The sequence below is a fragment of the Homo sapiens genome, chromosome 3, assembly GCF_000001405.40.
Source record: "Homo sapiens chromosome 3, GRCh38.p14 Primary Assembly".
In the NCBI taxonomy this organism is placed as follows: Eukaryota; Metazoa; Chordata; class Mammalia; order Primates; family Hominidae; genus Homo; species Homo sapiens.
This window is the reverse complement of record NC_000003.12, coordinates 10,198,696-10,214,743: the sequence shown is the minus strand read 5'-3', so window position 1 is coordinate 10,214,743 and position 16,048 is coordinate 10,198,696. Positions and strand designations below refer to the sequence as shown.

The 16,048-nt window shown below is 48.8% G+C and overlaps 1 protein-coding gene across 1 annotated transcript in view, besides 7 other annotated features; it reads right to left on the bottom strand.

Moving 5' to 3' along the window:
* IRAK2 (interleukin 1 receptor associated kinase 2) overlaps nt 1-16,048 on the bottom strand; it is a 78,827-nt gene that overhangs the window by 29,002 nt on the left and 33,777 nt on the right. Inside the window, exons 3-6 of the mRNA NM_001570.4 lie at nt 14,229-14,375; nt 5,052-5,155; nt 1,343-1,537; nt 1,196-1,260 (exon numbers count right to left, since the gene is read on the bottom strand). Of these exons, the coding sequence (NP_001561.3) occupies nt 1,196-1,260; nt 1,343-1,537; nt 5,052-5,155; nt 14,229-14,375 (511 nt within the window). The remainder of the gene's footprint in view (nt 1-1,195; nt 1,261-1,342; nt 1,538-5,051; nt 5,156-14,228; nt 14,376-16,048) is intronic.
* Nucleotides 12,962-14,504: a meiotic recombination region, noted in NCBI's record as "meiotic double-strand break mapped by DNA meiotic recombinase 1 chromatin immunoprecipitation followed by single-stranded DNA enrichment and sequencing in the germ cells of some male individuals with the PRDM9 A/C genotype". NCBI's record gives the evidence for it as "EXISTENCE:chromatin immunoprecipitation-seq evidence [ECO:0000229][PMID:25395542]".
* Nucleotides 12,962-16,048: part of a biological region, named in NCBI's record as "3p25 IRAK2 Alu-mediated recombination region", that runs on past the window's edge. NCBI's record gives its function as "recombination_partner: LOC107303337 | LOC107303338 | LOC107303339 | LOC107303340".
* Nucleotides 13,128-15,205: a meiotic recombination region, noted in NCBI's record as "this region was identified as a recombination hotspot within the HapMap YRI population". NCBI's record gives the evidence for it as "EXISTENCE:nucleotide sequencing assay evidence [ECO:0000219][PMID:20981099]".
* Nucleotides 13,151-15,867: a meiotic recombination region, noted in NCBI's record as "this region was identified as a recombination hotspot within the HapMap CEU population". NCBI's record gives the evidence for it as "EXISTENCE:nucleotide sequencing assay evidence [ECO:0000219][PMID:20981099]".
* Nucleotides 14,557-14,859: a mobile genetic element, noted in NCBI's record as "direction; reverse".
* Nucleotides 14,731-14,762: a non allelic homologous recombination region, noted in NCBI's record as "AluSx recombination sub-region, recombines with the AluSx recombination sub-region within the 3p25 PRRT3 Alu-mediated recombination region". NCBI's record gives the evidence for it as "EXISTENCE:nucleotide sequencing assay evidence [ECO:0000219][PMID:19280651]".
* Nucleotides 15,248-15,263: a nucleotide motif, noted in NCBI's record as "nucleotide motif; similarity to the predicted 16-mer PRDM9 C-type binding motif, CCNCNNTNNNCNTNNC".

The window sequence follows — 16,048 nt, the reverse complement described above, 5'->3', positions numbered from 1 at the left end:
CAAACTCCTTGGCTCAAGGAATCCTCTTGCCTCAGCATCAAAGTTCTAGGATTACAGGCATAAACCACCATACCTGGTCAATTTTCTTTATTTTTTAACACTGGTTACAGAATGAACAGATACTCAATTTTCTTTATTTCTTAAAATACCCTACAATATAAGGCACAAGTGTTTCAGATGAAAAATAATTAAAAAAAAAAAAAGCACACACATGGCAGGGCACAGTGGCTCACACCTATAATCCCAACATCTTGGGAGGTCAAGGCAGGAGGATCACTTGAGCCCGGGAGCTCAACACCAGCCTGGTCAACATAGCAAGACCCTATCTCTACAAAAAAAAAAAAAAAAAAAAGCAAAAAATGAGCTGGGCGCACACCTGTAGTCCCAGCTTCTCAGAGGCTGAGGTGGGAGGATCACCAGCCCATGAGTTCAAAGCTGCAGTGATCTACAATCATTCCAAGGCCATTCCAGCCTGGGCAATAGAGCAAGACCCTAGCTCTTAAAAAAGAAAAAAAAGTCAGGCACGGTGGCTCACGCCTGTAATCCCAGCACTTTAGGAAGCCAAAGCAGAAAGATCACTTGAGGTCAGGAATTTGAGACCATCCTGGCCAACATGTCAAAACCCCGTCTCTACTAAAAATATGAAAATTAGCCGGGCCTGGTGGCGCACGCCTGTAATCCCAGCTACTCGGGAGGCTAAGGCACGAGAATCACCTGAACCTGGTAGGCAGAGATTGCAGTGAGCCGAGATCACGCCACTGCACTCCAGCCTGGGAGACAGAGCAAGACTCTGTCTCAAAAAACAAAAAAAGAAAAGAAAAGAAAAAAAAAAAGGAGAGAAGATTTATTCCCATGTGGAAGGAAGGAGTTGGAGTAAGCCAAGTTTCCTTTATAATTCTAATCTACACATAGAATTGCTACACAGGAGAAGAATGGACTCTGGAGCCAAACCAGGTAGATCCAAATCCTGGCTCTGCCACTCATTAGCTGTGTGACCTTGGATGAGACATTTAACCCCTCTGTGCCTCAATTTACCCATCTGTAAAATAATGTGATAATAGTAGCTACATTTATAGGGTTCTTGTAAGGACTAAATGAGTTTATATATAATAGAGTGCTTAAAACATGACTGGGCACACAGGAAGCACTATATAAAGGTTAGCTATCATTATTACTAAACAAAGGGGAGGCTTACCTAAGACAAATCTGCAACTCTGCCTGGAAGAATCTTTCGATTGATCCTGGACTTGAACAGGCTGTCTGTAGAGAAAGACATCAGAACATGAAGATCCCGCCCCACCCCTGCAGCCTCCACCCCCACTAGAAACCAAGAAGTGCTCACCTCTCTGAGCTTCTTGAAGACGAATGGCTTCCCGTGCCTGTGCCCTCTGTAGACGTCAGCAAAGGTCCCCTGGCTGATTTTGCGGTTTTGATTGAAGTCATCGGTTGCCTGGACCACGTCTGCCTCACTCCAGAAAAGGCTGTCTCCAGCCAAGCTCAAAAGTTTTTCCTGCTTAGGAATGGAGGTGCTGAAGTCCTGGAGACCCAGAGAGAAGAGATGGAGATTACTATGGAATCTCGTTTTCTCTGCTACCTCAAGGGACCTTGGAACACCAGAGATGGAGGGATGGAGGGGATCAACTTATCCAATGGAAACTGTAAAAAGGACATGGATAGGCCGGGCACGGTGGCTCACGCCTGTAATCCCAGCACTTTGGGAGGCCGAGGCGGGCGGATCACGAGGTCAGGAGATCAAGACCATCCTGGCTAACACAGTGAAACCCCGTCTCTACTAAAAAATACAAAAAAAAATTATCCAGGCGTGGTGGCGGGCGCCTGTAGTCCCAGCTACTCGGGAGGCTGAGGCAGGAGAATGGGGTGAACCCAGGAGGCGGAGCTTGCAGTGAGCCGAGATCGCGCCACTGCACTCCAGCCTGGGTGACAGAGCGAGACTCTGTCTCAAAAAAAAAAAAAAAAAAAGGACATGGATAGGCCCAAGCTCAAATCCCAGCTCCATCTGTATCTTGCTCTGTGACCTTGGGTGAGTTACTTAACCTCTCTGAGCCTCAATTTTTTCCATCAGCAAAAATGAAGGTAACAATAGTACCCCGAAGAGTAATTTTGAAGACTAAGATGTGAGTATTCCTGGCACATGGTTGATGTTTCCTTTATTTCAGTTTACAGAAGTAAGCACTGAGGAAATAAAACAGCTGAAGTGAGGTCCCACAGCTGGTCAGTGGCCGAGCTCAGCACTCTTGGTCTAATTCACAGCATAGATACTGGGGTTCCAGACTCCTGGGAAGTAGGATACAGGTTCATATAACCAAACCAGGGGTGTCCAATTTTTGACTTCCCTGGACCACACTGGAAGAAGAATTGTCTTGGGCCACACATAAAATACACTAATACTAATGATAGCTGATGAGCTTTAAAAAAAAAATTGCAAAAAAAACTCATAATGTTTTAAGAAACTTTACAAATTTGTGTTGGGCCACATTCAAAGCCATCCTGGGCTGCACACAACCATGGGCAAGTAAGACAAGCTTGCTTTAAACAGAATTCCAGAGACTGCATGTGTATATAAGCCTATAAAAAGAAGTTCTGTTTCCGTTTTTAATAACTTCTCTCTTTAAAACACATGTACGTAATTTTTTTTTTTTTTTTGAGACAGAGTCTCGTACTGTCACCCAGGCTGGAGTGCAGTGGTGTGATCTCGGCTCACTGCAAGCTCCGCCTCCCAGGTTCACGCCATTCTCCTTCCTCAGTCTCCCGAGCAGCTGGGACTACAGGCACCCACCACCCTGTCCGGCTAATTTTTTGTAATTTTTTTAGTAGAGATGAGGCCTCACCGTGTTAGCCAGGATGGTCTCCATCTCCTGACCTCGTGATCCGCCCGACTTGGCCTCCCAAAGTGCTGGGATTACAGGCACGAGCCACCGCGCCCGGCCTAAATTTCAATTTTTTTAAGTTACATATGCTCTTAACAGTTTTTGAAAATTAGTATCCATAACCCCATTATCCATTTAACTGCTATTAAAGTTAGTGTATTTCCGGCCAATTAGATATACTAGGATTTATTTAACAAAACTGGTATCATGCCACACACATAGTTTTGATTTCTTTTTGAGACAGGGTCTCACTTTGACACCAAGGCTGGAGTGCAATGGCATGATGTCAGCTCACCGCAGCCTCAACCTCCCAGGCTCAAGGGATCCTTTCATCTCAGCGCCCCCAAGTAGCTGGGACTACAGGTGTGTGCCACCACGCCTGGCTTATTTTTTAAACTTTTTTTTTTGGCGAGGCCAGGCACAGTGATTCACTGCTTGTAATCTCACCATATGTGGGAGGCCAAGGCAGGCGGATCCTCTGAGGCCAGGAGTTCAAGACCAGCCTGGGCAATATGGTGAAACCGTGTCTCTACTAAAAATACAAAAATTAGCCAGGCGTGGTGGCACACACCTATAATCCCGGATACTCAGGAGGCTGAGGCAGGAGAATCGCTTAAACTGGGGAACCAGAGGTTTCAGTGAGTCGAGACAGCCTGGGCAACAGAGGGAGACTTTGTCTCAAAAAAACTTTTTGGCCAGGCACGGTGGCTCATGCCTGTAATCCCAGCACTTTGGGATGCTGAGGTGGGCGGATCACATGAGGCCAGGAGTTCAAGACCAGCCTGGCCAACATGGCGAAACCCTGTCTCCACTAAAAATACAAAAAAAAATTAGCCAAACATGCTGGCATGTGCATGTAATCCCAGCTACTCAGGAGGCTGAGGCAGGAGAATAGCTTGAACCTGGGAGGCAGAGGTTACAGTGACCAAGATCGTGCCACTGCACTCCAGCCTGGGCAATGGAGCGAGACTCCTCAAAAAAAACACAAAAACAAAAAAAACTTTTTTGTAGACACAGGATCTCACACTGTTGCCCAGGTTGGTCTCAAAGTACTGGGCTCAAGTGAACCTCCCATACCAACCTCCCAAAGTGTTGGGTTTATCCTTCATGGAAGGTTGATCTATTTATTAATTTAGAGATGGGGCCTCCCTGTGTTGCCTAGGCTGGTCTCCAACTCCTGGGCTCAAGCGATCCTCCCACCTCAGCCTCCCAAATAGCCAGGACTACAGGCATGTGACACCACACCTGGGACATGGAAGAGCTTCATTAACCACACTCATGCAAAGCTGGCTTCTCCCCCAGGCACTGGATGCAAAGGGTCTAGGCTCACAACACTTTTAGGGGCCATCAGAACATTTTAATTTATTTTAAAATCAGAAGAAAATAAATGGACTTTTAGAGTCAAAGAAATGTCCTCATTTTTAATCCTGCTTGGATTTTATTTATCTTCGTACCAATATGGTCATACATTTTTGGAGACAGGGTCTCACTCTGTCACCCAGGGTGGAATGTGGTGGTAGGATCACAGCTCACTGCAACTTCTGCCTCCTGGGCTGAAGCCATCCTCCCGCCTCAGCCTCCCAAGTAGCTGAGACCACAGGTCGAAAATAAAATAAAATAATAAAAGAAAATAATGGCCGGGTGCAGTGGCTCATGCCTGTAATCCAAGCACTTTGGGAGGCGGAGGCAGGTGGATCACCTGACGTCAGGAGTTCGAGACCAAGCTGGCCAACATGGTGAGACCCCGTCTCTACTAAAAATACAAAAAATTAGCCGAGCATGGTGACATGCACCTGTAATCCCAGCTACTTGGGAGGCTGAGGCAGGAGAATCACTTGAACCCGGGAAGCGGAGGTTGCAGTGACCCGAGATCGTGCCACTGCACTCCAGCCTGGGTGGCAGAGCGAGACTCTGTCTCAAAAATAATAATAATAACAAATTAAAAAACAAGAAGTATATTCACTGAAGTGCCCTCCCTCCCTCTCCCCGCTATTATTGACCTCCTCTACTTACAGTCTTAGAAGCTTGGGGTAATTTGATGGCAATTTCCTTTCTCCTCTCCACCCTTAAACTGGTCTCAAGGGGTAGAGAAATTGCATTTTTGAGAGGGAACTACACGCTGGGAGACATGGCTTGGGGGCTGCAGCCGAGGGGTGGATTTACCTTTGAATCAGACGAAGTGGGGAGGTCGCTTCTCAAGGAATGAGGGGCATCTTCTTCAGGAGGCTGGAGAAAGGCCGGCTGGTGGGCTCTGGCTGGAGAGGACCCTGGAAAGGAGGGACTATGGGTCAGGATGCAGCCTCGGGGAGGAAGACAGGAGGGATCCTGGTCTAGTCCTCAGACTATGCCAGTCTCCTGTTCACTCCCCAAACACTTGTTGCTGCCAATTCCTGACACCCACCATGTGCCAACCAACACACTCCTCAAGCATCACCTCAGGATAAGCCTCTGACTCCCCTACAACCTGGGGCCTGTTTATCATCCCAGTTGGCAAGTGGAGACACGGAGACACCGGAGGTAGACGCAGTGCTCAGGACCACCCAGCCAGTAGATGGTAGAGCCGAAATTCAGACGGAAATCTGTTTGACTTCTAGGCCCTGCACTATCTCACCTCCTACTCAAAGAGCAGAAAAAGACACAGAGGTGAACTAGCTACCAAGCCTGCCTTCCAGAAACCTCCACCAGGGCAGGGATGCAGTAACTATCCTCCGAGGATACATCCCACGGGAGAGCGAGGTCAGAGGCAGGAGAGACCATAACAGGCTGGGAGATGAGGAGGGTTCACAGAGGAAGTGGCACCTGACCTGGGCTTGAAATATGGAGAAACGTTTTCAACAAGCAGATATGGGGCAGTGGAACCAGCCCATGCAGAGGTGGGGCAGTAGAAGGGCCCGGGGCTGGAGTAAGTTAACATCTAGGTACATGAGTTAGCAAACATCATGCCAGGCACTGTTCTAAATACTTCACATCTGTAATACCAGCACTTTGGGAGGCTGAGGCAGGAGGATTGCTTCAGCCCAGGAGTTTGAGATCAGCTTGGGCAACATGACAAGATCCCGTTTCTACAAAAGATTTTTTTTCTTTTTTTTTTTTGAGATGGAGTCTCCCTCTGTTGCCCAGGCTGGAGTGCAGTGGCACAATCTCGGCTCACTGCAAGCTCCGCCTCCCGGGTTCACACCATTCTCCTGCCTCAGCCTCCCGAGTAGCTGGGACTACAGGCGCCCGCCACCACACCCAGCTAATTTTTTGTATTTTTAGTAGAGATGGGGTTTCACTGTGTTAGCCAGGATGGTCTCGATCTCCTGAACTCGTGATCTGCCCACCTTGGCTTCCCAAAGTGCTGGGATTACAGGCATGAGCCACTGCGCTCAGTCCTACAAAAGATTTTTTTTTAATAGCCAGGTATGGTGGTGTACACCTGTGGTCCCCTCTACTTGGGAGGATGAGGATCACTTGTGCCCAGGAGGTCAAGGCTATATTGAGCCATGATCACACCACTGCACTCTAGCCTAGGAGGCAGAATGAGACCCTGTCTCAAAAAAAATCCTTCCCGTGCGTTAACTCATCTAATCCTCATGCCAATCAGGAAATAAGGTACCACTGCACCATTTTCATTGCCTCTTTGCAGATGGTGAAATGAGGCATGGAGAAGTTAAGTCACTTTTCCAAGGGCCTTGGCCTTTGGCCAAGGCCTGCTTCTGTGCGGACCAGCCACCATGGCCCACCTCACCCACAGTCTGTGCCTGCGCCCACCGAGGAGCCCCCCTACCAGACGGCCTCATTAGTCTTCAGATTAATCTTCACATGGGGCACACAGTCATCAGTGGTTCCAGTGTCTATGTTCTTTTTTTTTTTTTTTTTTTGGAAACAGAGTCTCACTCTGTCACCCAGGCTGGAGTGCAGTGGCACAATCTCAGCTCACTGCAAACTCCCCCTCCCAGGTTCAAGCGATTCTCCTGCCTCAGCCTACGAAGTAGCTGGGACTATAGGCGTGCGCCATGATGCCGGCTAATTTTTGTATTTTTATTAGAGATGGGGTTTCACCATGTTGGCCAGGCTGGTTTTGAACTCCTGACCTCAAGTGATCCACTTGCCTCGGCCTCCCAAAGTGCTGGGATTATAGGCGTGAGCCACCATGCTTGGCCATGTCTATGCCCCAATCCCTTAGTGAGTGAACAAGATTCACAAGACGGAATGTTTGACAAGTAGTTTAGGGTCACTTAAACGTGAGGTTAAAGAGGGTGAAATTTCTTCACTAGGCCCCATGTGAAGATTAATCTGAAGACTAATGAGGCCATCTGGTAGGGGGGCTCCTCGGTGGGCGCAGGCACAGACCGTGGGTGAGGTGAGCCATGGTGGCTGGTCCGCACAGAAGCAGGCCTTGGCCAAAGGCCAGAGGCTTCAAACATCATCATCTGGAAATACCTAGGAAGCCCCATGGCAAGGACAGCTTCTGAGTAACTGGGGACCTGACCCTTCCAAAGGAAACTGGACTTGACCCCAAGATTACTGGATAAATCTACCTGCTTCAGGTATTTGTGGCTTACAACATCAGGAAAGGAATGACTCATCTGGAACTTTGGCTATTAAAAAATTTATTTTGGCCTGGGCACAGTGGCTCAGGCTTGTAATCCCAGCACTTTGGGAGGCCGAGGCAGGTGGATCACCTGAGGTTAAGAGTTTAAGACCATGAGCCAAGATTGTGCCACTGCACTCCAGCCTGGGTGACAGAGTGAGACTCCACTTCAAAACAAACAAACAAAAAAACAAACAAAAAGAGTTTAAGACCAGCCTGGCCAACATGGTAAAACCCCATCTCTACAAAAATACAAAAATTAGCCTGGCATGATGGCGAGTGCCTGTAATCCCAGCTACTTGGGAGGCTAAGGCAGGAGAATTGCTTGAACCAGGGAGGCAAAGGTTGCCGTGAGCTGAGCTGTGCCACTGCACTCCAGCCTGGGGGACAGAGCGAGACTGTATCAAAAAAAAAAAATTTGTTTTGGCCAGCACAGTGGCTCACACCTGTAATCCCAGCGCTTTGGGAGGCTGAGGCAGGTGGATCACCTGAGGTCAGGAGTTCGAGACCAGTCTGGTCAACATGGTGAAACCCTGTCTCTACTAAAAATACAAAAATTAGCCGGGCATGGTGGCACATGCCTGTAGGCCCAGCTACTCAGGAGGCTGAGGCACAAGAATCGCTTAAACCTGGGAGGCAGAGGTTGCAGTGAGCCAAGATCATACCACTGCACTCCAACCTGGGCAACAGAGCGAGACTCAGTCTCAAAAAACAAAAAACAAAAAATTTTATTTCACGAGACTGAAAGTAAAATCAGCCTGGCTAAACAATTAACCCACACAGATAGCTGATAACATGAAATCACCTGAGACAAGGTCTGGAGCCTGTCAAGGGGCTGCCCTCAGCCTCATTCCTGGGATCTTTGCCCTGCTGCTGTGTGAATCTAGCAGCCAGGAGAATGCGAGCTGGAGACCCCCAGCTGCTGGGAGCCTGGCTATCTGCGGGCCTGGCTGTGGCTGGCTCCAATCAATCCCTGCATCTGCATCCGGACCATGCTTCCCAGGGGCTGTTCCCCAGGCACTGTGTGCAGAGGGTACACTAGGCAGATAGGACTGTGATGGCCAACGGACACCCTGGAGAGTCTGCCTTAGACCGAAGGCAGGCCAGCAAGTGCCCACCCAGCCTTCCTCGGAAATGGCGCACCATGGTCCCAAGGCTCTCCCAGCCTTGCCCAGCTCCCTCTGCATTTTCTTGCAAGTATTTGTCCTAATGAAATCCTATCTTGTTGATGAAATCCTATCCTGTCTTGGTATCTGCCTCTCACCAAGGACCTGGACTAATGGAGGCCTCTGCTGGCCAGCACAGGGCCCCCGTCCTGCAGAAAGGCTGCTCTGTGATGGCCACTTCCACCCTTGCCCTGCCTTCTCTTGGCCTCAGCTCAGTACCCTTGGCCCGCATCCCTCAGACTGCAGTTATGTTCATCCGGTCTCCAAGTTTTTGGCCATGTCTGTGCCACCTCACTATGAGTCACCTGACGGTTTTCTTTCAACCAACTTTAATTCCAGTGTTATGTATTCAGCCTTGTGTTAAACAGTAATATCCATGAAGTCCCTAGTTCTTCTACACATGATCTATATTTGTGCTAACACCCAGGTTCTGTGTACCACTGCAGGTGTGGGCCCCACACTGGGAACCGCTGCTCCAGACTAACTTGAGTTCCATCCTGCTGCCAGGCCTGGCCACAGGGCAGGGCTGTCTCTGCACACAGGGTCCTTCTGTGCCCAGTAAATCTGAGGTCAGAGCTTGCCTCACACAAGTCATGAGTTTCCTATCTGACTTAATGCCTGGGGTTTGCTCAGGAGGCTCCCCCAGGCCTCTCAGTTTGGGGGAATCCCTGAGGCCTGCTCCTGCGACACATGAGGGCTATTAGTTGGGTTTATTTATCCCTGTGGTCTTGGGGAAAAGAAATGGACTCTGGTCTGGAAAATCAGACAGGACCCACCAGCCATTACTCTCCATCTCTCCCTACCCAGCCCTCCCCTCCTCTGGGGTCTAATCGGATTGGCTCCTCGTGCCTAGGGTAGTTATCTGTGGTAGGAGAAACTCACAACCATAATCTTTAAAGGCCCCCACTGTATGTCCAAGGGCAGAGAGAGGAGAATGAGAAGGAATTCTCCAGCTATCAAGGATATGAAAATCTCCCTGGATTCCATACAAACTAATCAGAAGTTGGCCATGGGTGGATCATTACTGAAGCCAGCTGATGGGGACATGGAGGGTCATTATGCTCTTGGCTTTTGTATGTTTGTAATTTTTTCATATAAAAATGTTTTAAAATAATGGCTAAGGGAGGGGAGGGAGATGGGGCAGGAGAGTAGATGAACAAGATGGGATACTTGTTGGGTGATAGTGATAGATGGGGCTTGGGGCTTCTACATAATCTTGTTTCCAAGAGTGAGGCACAGCTAATCAGAGGTCAGATCAAGTGCCAGGACTTAGCTAAAAAACAAACCATTTCCTATGGAAATGCTTCCAGAAGCTTTCTTTTTCTTGCTTTTCTTTTTTGCTCTGTTTTGTTTGTTTTTGTTTTTGAAACAGAGTCTTTCTCTGTCACCCAAGCTGGAGTGCAGTGGCGTGATCTCGGCTCACTGCAACCTCCGCCTCCCAGGTTCAAGCAATTCTCCTGCCTCAGCCTCCCAAGTAGCTGGGATTACAGGCGCCTGAGACCATGCCTAGCTAATTTTTATATTTTTAGTAGAGATGAGGTTTCACCATGTTGACCAGGCTGGTCTCGAACTCCTGACCTGAGGTGATCCGACTGCCTTGGCCTTTTTGTTGCTATTCTACTGAGGCTAATATGCCTGCTTTCTCAAGCAAAATGCACCACCTCTGGTCCTGCCGAGCTGTGTCATTGCAGGTACAAGAATTGCAGAAGCAGCGGCACTGTATCTGACATGGGGTCTTCTATGTCCTGCCCTGATGCTGGCAGCGGGTCTACCCCCAGCTGCCCCATCTCCTTTATTAGTATCAAACAGAATTTGGCTCAAGCGCTGGCTCCAGCACTACTCAAGATCTGACCTCAGATGAGCTGTGCCTCACTTATCTGAGCTTTCTCAAATGTAAAAAGAGCAATAATGGTCTGTTTCTTGTCCAGGTAAAAAGAGCTGATGTTTATAGAGCACAAAGGTCAGGCTGTGACACATGCAGTACTTGGTATTTTACCAAGGCTGGTGAAACTATGTGTAGAGTAAGTAAACAGATTCTGACTGATAGCCCAGTGGCCTCTCCTACAGCTAAGGCTTTGTAACAGTTATTTCAGCTGCTCAAAACCCTTTCATCTGAATTCTAGCTTCGAGACTGCTTTGCCGAGGTGCTCATAGCCTATCCATGGCTCCTCTGCTCACATATTTTCCTCCTCAGCCAGGCGCGGTGGCTCATGCCTGTAATCCCAGCACTTTGAGAGGCCGAGGCAGGTGGTCAAGAGATCAAGACCATCCTGGTCAACATGGTGAAACCCCGTCTCTACTAAAAATACAAAAAATTAGCTGGGCGTGGTGGCGCGCACCTGTAGTGCCAGCTACTCGGGAGGCTGAGGCAGGAGGATCACTTGAACCCAGGAGGCAGAGGCTGCAGTGAGCCGAGATCGCGCCACTGCACTCCAGCCTAGTGATAGAGCGAGACTCTGTCTCAAAAAACAAAACAAACAAACATATTTTCCTCCTCCATGTCTCTTCCCACTTCCTTCCCACCTACTGCAAGGGGGAGCCAGGGTATCACAGGGATCAAGATGTGGGCTCAGTATACTTCACTCCTACCAAAATCCTTTAAGATAATTGATGAGTTTGAACTCTGGGGCTCAGTGGAACCTTGGGGTTTTCCCGAAAGAAGACAAGCTTTGGGTGGTTTGATGAAATGAATGATTTCTTATTTTCAATTTAGGCAAAGATAGACAATCAACTTCCTGTCTCTGCCTGCAAATTGTAGTTATCATCTTGACCTGCCTGGGCACATTTGCTCCAAGTGCCATCAAGAAAGCAAATAGGGGCTGGGTGCAGTGGCTCACGCCTGTAATCCCAGCACTTTGGGAGGCCAAGGCAGGTGGATTGCTTGAGCCCAGGAGTTCAAGACCAGCCTGTGCAACACAGCGAAACCCCATCTTTACAAAAAATACAAAAATCAGTCAGACGTGGTGGTGCGTGCCTATAGTCCCAGCTACTCAGGAGGCTGAGGCAGCAGGATCGCTTGAACCCGGGAGGCAAAGGTTGCAATGAGCCGAGATTGTGCCACTGCACTCTAGCCTGGGTGACAGAGATTCCATCCCACTGCCAAAAAAAGAAAGTAAGTAAATAGGGCTCTGTGCAGTGGCTCATGCCTGTAATCCCAACACTTTGGGAGGCCAAGGTGGGAGAATCGCTTGATCCCAGGAGTTCGAGACCAGCCTGGGCAACATAATGAGATCCCATCTTTACAAAAATAAAAAATTAGCCGGCCGTAGTGATGTACACCTGTAGTCCCAGCTACTTGAGAGGCTGAAGTGGGAGGATTGCTTCAGCCAGGGAAGTTGAGGCTGCAGTGAGCTATGACCGTGCCACCGTCACCTAGCCTGGGCAACAGAGCAAGGCCTATCTCAAAAAAAAAAAAAAAAAAAAAGGAAAGAAAGTAAACAGCAAAGGCTGACAGAGACATGTGATGTTTATTTTACTTTTATTTTTATGTTGAGACAGAGTCTCACTCTGTCACCCAGGCTGGAATGCAGTGGCACGATCTCAGCTCACTGCAACCTCCGCCTCCTGGGTTTGAGTGATTCTCCTGCCTCAGCCTCTCGCGTAGCTGGGACTACATGTACCCGCCACCACGCCCGGCCAATTTTTTGTATTTTTAATAGAGACAGGGTTTCACCGTGTTAGCCAGGATGGTATTGATCTCCTGACCTCGTGATCCACCCGCCTCAGCCTCCCAAAGTGCTAGGATTACAGGCATGAGCTACCACGCCCGGCTGGCTGTGATGTTTATCTTTACAGTAACCTAGATAAAGAATACCAGAAGGAACTGCTATGCCTATTACCTCTTCCATCCTGACCAGCACGCCCCTACAATTTCCCTATTTTGTTATAATTTTCCCTTTGGTCAGGACCATTTCCCCTTATCTTTCATTGCTGATCAAAAGTCTACACTTAAAAATACATATATTTAGCTACAGGAAATAATCCAGACTCCTTGGCCTAGAATTAACTTTCTAGATTCAACCTATCTGGAGTGTCTGGAATGTTCATAATATCAGATAACATTTAATGAGCACCTCCATGGTGCAACACTCAGGTGCAGGATTTCTTACCACAACGTGATGAAATAGGGTCTATTATTCTCCTCATTTTACAAATGAGTAAACTGAGGTACAAACGCTAAGTCATTCTACAAAACAGCAGCACTAGGATTCAAATATGAGTCTGTCTAATACAAAAGCCCACAAAACATGTTCCTTTCAGCTGATGCCGCCCCTGGCTTCAGAAACGGCAACAGTGAACTGAGATTACATGGATTTGGGGTCTCTGGCTCACCACTCAGGAGGCCGCAGGAGACAGGAGGTGAGGCAGGGCTCCAGGGGTGAGGCGGTGAGAATGGAGATTGGGCTGAGCAGCAGCTCCCCTAGGGAGGTCATCTGCTGGCTGAGCCATTCTGTCATTTGGAAACTGTCCCTGAGCCCTTGCCTGGGCACAGGCGACGGAGACAAATCTGAAGTGGTCCAAAAGGATTTGGGATAGCAGTGAGTATGATGCTTAGGGATGTGAGTGTTCAAATCACACAGCTCAGACATTACTTCCTATTTGTGTGACCTTAAGCAAGCTGCTCTCCCTCTCTGGGCTTCAGCAGACTGTGACTGATGGAGGGGAGGAAAGTGGTGGGCAGGAAGCACCCCTCAATTCCCCACTGCATGGCTGCGAGGGCCGGGGCCTATGGAGAATGGACAGAGAAATGGTCAGACATCCGGTCCAGAGCCTGCACGCAGGGCCAACCTGTGCTGGGGACACGGGAGACCACTGGTGAAAACAGGGACCCGGCAGTACATGACCTCAGCCAGGTTGGTTAACCTCGCTGTGCTTTAGTTTTCTCATCCATGAAATGGGCATAATCACAATACCTAATTCATAGTTAGTTGAAGATTAAATGAGTCAATATCTTTGAAGTACAGTACTTGGAATAGTGTCTGGCACTAGAAAGCCTCCAATTACCGAGCTATTTCTTTTCTGCTCACAAAAATGGTAACAGATGTTATATACATTTTGTTACCTGATTTTTTCTACTTTTCTACCTCCCGATATTGTCAGTATGTTTCCATGTACATATGCACGTCTACATCACTGTTGATAGTACTTTGTTGTGACTGTCTGACATTAATTTTATTATCCCCCATTGTTGTTGCCAGATTTTTTGCTTTCTTTAGGAAGAGTCTCGCTCTGTCACCCAGGCTGGAGTGCAGTGGTGTGATCATAGCTCACCACAGCCTTGCACTCCTGGGCTCGAGCAATCCCCCTACCTCAGCCTCCTGAATAGCTGGGACTACCAGGTGCATGCCACCATGCCTGGATGATTTTTTTAAAATTTTTTGTAGAGAAAAGGTCTCACCAGGTTGCCTAGGCTGGTCTCAAACTCCTGGGCTCAAGCCATCCTCCCGCCTCAGCCTCACGGAGCTGGGATTATAGGCATGGGCCACCATGCTCAGCCTCAATTTTTTGCTCTTATATGCTAAGCTGAATGTCCTTATAGATATATCTTCATTTCCTTAAATAAAAGTGCTTTAAGTAAAAAAGTTAAATTTAAAATACCTGGGCCTGGAAAGGTGGCCATCCTCACAGGCTGCCCCTCTTCCTGTTCATCCTCAGCCTTTCTTACAGAAGCTGCCAAAGGCTTTTCTGGCTTCACAGAGTCAGGGAAGGCTGGAATGGGACACCTGATTTCAGGAGCCGGTTTCCCTGAAAACAAGGTGGAAAGAAAGTTATTACTATTCCATGAAGTGGGGTAGCCATTGAGAGACTGGTTCTGGAAGTCAGAGACCTGGGTTCTAATTCTGGCTCTGCCACAAATGCATGGTGTTGCAGGGCGGGAGGGTCTTTCCCTTTCTGGCCCCGGCCTCCCCATCTGTAAAATGCGGTAGACCAGGCGCGGTGGCTCACACCTGTAATCCCAGCACTTTGGGAGGCCGAGGTGGGTGGACTGCCTGAGGTCAGGAGTTCGAGACCAGCCTGGCCAACATGGTGAAACCCCATCTCTACTAAAAATACAAAAATTAGTTGGGCATGGTGGCACACGGCTGTAGTCTCAGCTACTTGGGAGGCTGAGGCAGGAGAATCACTTGAACCGGGGAGGCGGAGCTTGCAGTGAGCCAAGATCGCACCACTACACTCCAGCCTGAGCGACAGAGCAAGACTCTGTCTCAAAAAAAAAAAAAAAAAAAAAGAGCAGTGGCTGAACATGGCAGTCCTGGTGAAGGTGGAGCTCTGACGTGCTAAGTCACATACACCTGCTTCCACCCAACCAGCTGTGTGACCTCCAACAAGTCACCTTCCTCCTCTCGGTCTCCCTTCCCTCACCTATAAAACGGAGGTGATAATGGCGTCCGTTTGCCTCCCGCTGGGGTGTCATGTGGGAAAGGAGAGTAGAGATGGGAATGGGCGCTGTAGACTGCACATTTCCCTGAACACGTGAGCGGGTCAAAGACACCATCCCTCTAAGCTCCCACTCCAGCCCCTAGGGATCAAAGTTCTGGCTGTCCTACAACCTCCCTTTCACGCAGTGGAGACAAACGCATCCTTCCCACTTGATGGATGAGAATCCTAAAACAGCAGCCATGGCCACTGAGGACGGGCTGTACCAGGCCCAGGCCCAGCTGCACAGACATGAATCCTCACAACATCTCTGCTTCTCATCCCTGTTCAGAGATGAGGAAACTGAGGCCTGAGCAGGTTAAATGACTTGCTAAGATCACATGCCAAAGGCACGCAGGACTGGCCGAAGAACTCCCCTGCCTTCTCGAGGGTAATCATTTCCTTTTTACATCAACTTGGGAAACCCCAAAGGTGCTTCGAGGGTGTGTCAACCTCAGCTTCCAGCCAGCTTCTCAGAGCTGCTCTGTGAAACAGCTTCCTCTCCCCTCCTCCACTGGGCCCTGATCTTATCCCTTCTGGCTGGGCCCTGCCGCCAGCTCAGGCAGCCTCCACACCCTTGCCAGGCTACTTCTTACCAAAGTATACATCTGGCCTCGTCACTTCCCTGCTTGAAGCCTTTATGGGGCTCCCCATTGCCTAGATAATGTCCACACTCCTTAGCCTGAATCTTTCTGTCTCCCCATTGCCTCCCAGATAAAACCTGATGCTATAGCCCTGCATTCAAGTCCCTCATTCTCTGGTGGTTTGGGATAGACTCATGTTTGAGAATGACAAAAACTGGGGCACTGAAGTCCCAGGAAGGGCTGCTGACTCGCTTGATGTCACACAGAGCATGACATAAAGCATGACACAGGGGATGTCACAACAGATGTCCCAGGTAGGGCTGGGACAAAACATCTCCAGCAACATTTCTTTGAACTGGTCAACTGTGCCTCTCTAAACAAAACCAATTGTTACCCTGGGACCTCACTTTTCAAACC